General features: G+C 44.5%; 1 annotated feature.

The window, feature by feature from the left end:
- Positions 4,471 to 5,670: an enhancer, noted in NCBI's record as "MED14-independent group 3 enhancer chr14:89466718-89467917 (GRCh37/hg19 assembly coordinates)". NCBI's record gives its function as "activates an origin of replication core promoter dependent on BRD2, BRD4, P300/CBP and CDK7 cofactors, and independent of MED14, by STARR-seq in HCT116 cells {active_cell/tissue: HCT116}" and the evidence as "EXISTENCE:reporter gene assay evidence [ECO:0000049][PMID:35650434]".

The raw sequence follows: 6,051 nt of genomic DNA on the forward strand, positions 1-6,051 counted from the left end.
ACTAACCACCGCTCATGAAGTTGGGTAAGGGAGGTTTCCCAACACTGGAAACATCATAAGGATTACACTAGAGTAATGTCAAGAGCCATCTATCTACACTAACTCCCTGTAAACTACTTGAGGCCAGGAACTTCTGTTTTATGTGTCTCCATAGGCCCTGTGCCCAACACTTAAAAATATCTGAGGCATGAGCTGTCCCAGGGAAGTCAGGTAGATCATCCGAGGCCCGTAGCAGGTGACAGTGCAGACCAGAGCCAAGAATTCTGGCCTCCAGGTGGGGGCCTGCCTGGGAGACTGAACCCCACCTGTGATAAAACCAGTGCTTCGTTGGACAGGATGGAAACCTTCAAGAGGCGTGTGATTCTAAAGAAGATTCGAACCCACTTGAAGGTCCAAATGCTAGATCTGACAGTGCAGTCAAGTACATAAGTTGGAGGGTGTGGGGGCTGCAAACCCGAGAGAGTAAGAGATTTGCACTTGGCACCTTTATTCATTCAGCAAGCATTGATCTCACTCGTTTTTCACTGTGGAATGAGATTTGCAAAGGCCTTCTCACAGGTTTTGTCCAGGAACCTATGGGAAGTCCCTGCAAAGTAGAAGGGTTTAGGGGCATCACTTCTTCCATGGCTCTCCCAAGGATGGAAATTTTCACTGGATCTTTAGATTGTCTGATCCAGACACTGGGTAATTGGCGGGGGGCTCAGGGGTCATACAGCCAATTCTATTGTCAACTCCCCTGCCTCCAGTATGTCCCCTGAATCTGACCACCTCTCTCTGTTGCCCCTAACCTGATCCAAGTCACCACCCCCTCTCACCTAAATGACTTCATCGGCCACCTCATTGGTCCACTTGCTTTCATTCTTACCTTTTGCCATCCTTCCCTTGCAGAGTAGCCACAGAGACCTTTGGAAACAAGTCCAAATGTCTCTCTCCCCTACTTAATATCCTCTAATAGCTTCCCACCTCCCCTTAGCTAAACTCCAAACCTCTTCCCATGGCCTAGGAGACCAGCTATAGCCTCCTTCTGTCACCTCTCCTCACTCTCTACACTCCAGCCACACTGCCCTTGTTTCCCACCCTTGAAACTCACTTTGTTGCCCTCTGCCCAGATAATTTTTCCTGCAGATCTCCCTCTGCAGACCTCCAGGTGCCTCTGGCTGGCACCTTCTTGTCATTCAGGTCTCAGGGCAAACACCACTCCCACCAACTTCTAACCCTCCATTGCTAGAACCGAATGTTACTGGATTTTATCGGTTAACATATCTGTTCTATTCTGAGCAAGGATGGAGCAATGTAACAGTTTGGTTATATTGTTTTGTACTGTGAGGTTCATGGGAGAAGGATCCTTATCTGGTCAAGTCACCTCTGTGTCCCACACTTAGAACAGTGTTGCTTCACCCATAGTTATTCAATAAATAGCTGTTGAAAGATTGAATTTTCCTGAGATTCAGTCGTATCACAGGTCAAAATGTATTTTCTGAATTTCATGCAGTAAAAACCATCACAGAGCCTATAACATTGATGATGATGATGATGATGTTGATACATGTAGTGGGGATAACATGCTCACTAAACATTCTACCTGCCTCTTACATTTCCCGGGTGCTCAGTAGACTAGTTCTGCATGGTGAGACATGTTGGAAGCCAGGTTTGTCACTTCTGGGTGGTGGCAATGAGAAGCCTGGGTAGGTTTCTCTGGGCTCTCTTCCCCTTCTGCTGTATGGGTAGGTCTCTTGGTATAGCTACGAAGTGGTGGTTCCTTGAGGCCATGTGAAGCACAGCTCTCTTCTACCCCTCACCCTATTGACCCATGGTGGGGGCATAGCTTGACTGAGAAATTCAGTTCATTGAGTAAAGCCACTGGGAGTTGGGGGTCCACACGTCACTGCATCATACTTAGCCTATCCTGACTAATGCAACAGCTAACACCTTGTGAGTTCTTACTGCATGCCAGGACCTTTGCATATATTATCTCATTTACTCTTTGTAGTACCCTATAATGTAAATAAGATTGTTATTCTCATCTTGCAGATAAAGAAACTGAGAGGCAGAAAGGTTGAACAATGTGCCCAAAGTCACCCAGTTAGAAAGTGGGAATTGACTTGAATCCAGGCAGTGTAACTGCAGAGCCCACGCTTTTAATCACATATTTTAAGGAACATTCTACTTTATGGATTAAAGTTTTTCATGATAAAGATAAACATAAAATCCTTTGCCATTAAGAAGTCTCTCCCTCATGTTTATCTTAAGAATATCTTTGGGTTAAAAGCAATTTTAAGAGATGCTGTTCCTGACTTGTTTCTCTTTGTCTTCTAATAAGCTCTAATTGAATGATGTTGCAAGCAGGTCTGCTCTCTGGAGCCAGTCTGCTGTCATGCCAACTAATTTAGAAATGTATGGATCTTACTGTTTCAAACCTGAGGCCATATTGATTCTGGAATATGCCCCACTAATTGCTGACAGCCTGATGCTAAGAAAAAAATAGAAGAAAAAAGCTTTCATGTCAATATTTGTTACTAACCTTGATAAATAAACATTATAAGTGATGGTGACTTTTTCCTCTTCTAAAGCTTTAATTACTGGCTTGCACACACTGCCATCATTTTGTTCTTGTTGGTGTTTAATAGTCTGTAATCCATTTTAATTACATTCTTTGCTTATCAAGATCAGACTCCAGAGCGAGGATAGAACAAAATTTAACTTCTGCCTTTTCCCCCCGTCTCTATCCAGTACCTTAAAAATATTCTGGGATTTAAAAACATCTTAAAGATAAAAATTTATCTTTAAGCTTAAAGCAAACAAGCAAACCATTAAAAGGAAGTTTCTTGCTACTTTTGCCAATTTATCAGTCCATTGACAAAAGCAACTGGACACACCTGCTTCCTCTATTAACCTTAGAATCTGAAGCTTGCAGAGAATTTTGAGAGAGTAGGGGTGGCATGGGGAGGAGAGGACTTCTAGGGTGAGGAAAATGTTCTCTTTCTTGACCTGGGGTGGTGAGTACAGAGTGCTTTGTTTTGTAATAATTCCTTGATCTTGTGCATTTATGTTGTGTGCACCTTTCCACATATGTGATACATGTCTATAAAAATGTTACTTAAAGCACTGAACGTGGCTAGGTTTCCAGGGTTTTTCAGTGGTTTTGTTAAGGGTAGTCATTTGAAGGTAGCCAAGCTCTTTTTTTGTTGCCACTTCTGATGATTATACTATTTTCATTTTTTATATCTGTATTTACAAGAGTAAGAATTATAAGGAAAAATGACTGTCATGCAGAAAAACACTACCACAAACGAAAAAATACTCTTTCGCTTACCTAACAGTCCCAGGTGGAAGCTCCTGGTCAGTGAGAGCCCTTCCACACAGTGATTCAGGGATCAAGCCTCAGATTGCAAGGCAGAATTGACAGCCTCAGCCTACTCAAAGGGAGATCTAGAGTAAAGATTATCCACTGGAGCAGTCCTGCACTGGGCAGAGATGGCCGGCTCCACTATCCCGCCATGCTCGGTCATTGCCTGAGGGGTGCCCTAGAAGAGGGCTTCAGCTCTAAAGCTACTTGTAGTCCTTGAAGCTGAATGGCAGTTATTTCTTGAAAGGTGATATGAGTGGTACACCTTCATGACTGTCACAAATGCTCTATAATGGAAGGGGAAGCACCTTTTTTTTTGGTGATCAGGAAGCCTCTTTGCCATAGTGGTAGCGGGCAGATTTGAACTTGACTCCAGAACCATGCTGGCGTGACTTCCCCCAGGTGCTGACCTGCCTTTCACTGCCCTTGAAATGTCCCACTGCCTCATTGTCTGTGGCCCATTAGGGGACTTTTTAATTTTACTCCCCAGCATTTATTCCTTTTTTTTTTAATGAAAGCCTCCATTTTTGTATGGAAAGCCCACCCCCACCCCACCCCAATTCTTAGTCCATGTGGTTTGGTTGGCCACCTTATCTCCACTGATCCAGCTCTATGGTTATTCCTATCCCTTAGCCAGAAGGAAGCTTTCCGTGTTGGGCACATGACCTAACCAGGGACAGGGACTTCTGCTAAGCATGCTCATCTACAAGAGGGTGACTCAGAGAGGATGCAGGCTGGAGTTGTGCAGCCATCTTGTCACTATGGTGGGGGAGCTTGGAGCAGCTGGGACCACTGTGGGAAGCATGAGGGTGAAGCCAACATGGTGGAAAGCAGATCTAAATCTGGAGAGAAACCGGGTCTTACGGAGTATGTCTGAGCCTGAAATCTCTGTGTCTGAACCCAGACGTGGATTCCTCCACGTCTTAGTAAAAAGTTTCCTTTTTACTCAAGCCACTTTGAATTGGTTTCAGTCCCTTTCACCTGAAAGTGTCCTAATAAAGTCCAACCATCAGACCTGAAACACACCCAGTTTAGAAATATTTATTTTCATTGTAGTTACTAAAGTCCCTGGAGCCAACCATCAGATCAGTCCCAGATGGTTAATTAGCATCAGCTAAGTGCTTTCAAAACAAAAAACGGTATTTTAATTAAATCCATGCAGGTTCCTCCACCCTACACTGCCCCCCACCCCCAATACCCCAATACACGCACACTTGGTATTTCAGAACTTCTGCCTACATTTTAACTGAGGTCTCCCTTGGAAAAAACAGCAAATAACAGAAATGTTTTTAACTCAGTTTCCCAAATGGACTCTGACTCCTTGAGGGCAGGAGTTTAGGGCATCTCATATTCCCAGAGCCTAGCACAGAGCCAGGCAGGAAGCGGTGGTTCAACCCATCTTAGACTCGACAATGCCCAGCTGGTGTCCTCAGCCTTGAGGTTGAGTGGCAGACACCTTCCCACGCCCTGTCTGGCTGTGTGCATGACTCAGCAGTTCCTGTAGGGAGAAGGTCATCCAGGGCCTCCCTGGAAATGAGTAAGCAGTATGATTGGGTAATCTAAGGCTGCCTGGTGAGGACCACCAGCCTCCTCAGCCATATGCCACTCTCCTCCACTTCCTGCCCCCTCCTTTTTCTAGCTCCTTCCCCCTCCTACTCCTTCATTTCTTTTCTTTCTCCTTTCCAAGTCCCCCCACCCTTACCCACAAACATGGGGGTTCTCCCATAAGCCTTGCGTGCCCTGGTAATTGTCCTCAGGGCTGTGCTTGAACTAGTCTTGCCCTGCAAATCAAGACATGTGACACAGTGATTCCAAAGGGGGTATGACCTGTATGAAGACAGATTTCACAAGGAAGGACTCTTCACTCTGGAAAACAAAAACTAAAAAGCAGCATGTGTAAAAGTATGATGGGTTATTAGCTATCTGTTTCTGTGAAACAAATTATCCTAACACTTAATGGTTTAAAACAACTATTATATTTATTGTTGTCCCTCATTTGGGGGCATCAGGAATTTGAAGGGGGCACAATGGAACAGCATGTCCCTAATTCATGATGTTTGGGGCCTTGGCTGGAAAATGCCAAAGCTGGTGGCTGGAATCATCATTGTTTACTTACATGACTGGAGGTTGAGGCTGACTGTTGGCAGAAACCTTAGCTGCGGCAATTGGCTGGAGTGCCTACATATGGTTTCTCCAAGTGGACTTGGCTTACTCACAACATAGCGGATGGGCTGCAAAGGTAAGTATAGAGAGAGAGAGAGAGAGAGAGAGAGAGAGAGAGAGAGAAATAGAGAGCGTCCTAGGCACCTCCCTTGTGTTATCCCAGTCCCAGCTCTGCAGCCTCACCAGACATTTGCTACAAACCCATTGACAGAATTCCCAGGTCCCCTAAAAAGCAGGACAAATCTGAAGGAGGTTCAGTGCAGGGATAATGGGGCATCCCTTCCCTTGGAGCCATAGAACCTGGCTTGGAATCCAGGTTCTCTTTTTCAGCTCTGTGACTCTGGAAAATTTCATTTCATTTCATTTCTCTTGGTCCCAGTTTCCTCATCTGCAAAATGGGTGCTAATCAAAATACTTATCTTGTGGTGAGCATTAAAGGAGTTATGGCTATAAAACACTTTGGAATTGACAAAGAACTACATAAAAGCAGGCTATTGTGATTCAGTTTAAATAATAAGACAAATAATGAATTATACAATTAA

This window comes from Homo sapiens, chromosome 14 (assembly GCF_000001405.40).
Source record: "Homo sapiens chromosome 14, GRCh38.p14 Primary Assembly".
Classification (NCBI taxonomy): domain Eukaryota; kingdom Metazoa; phylum Chordata; class Mammalia; order Primates; family Hominidae; genus Homo; species Homo sapiens.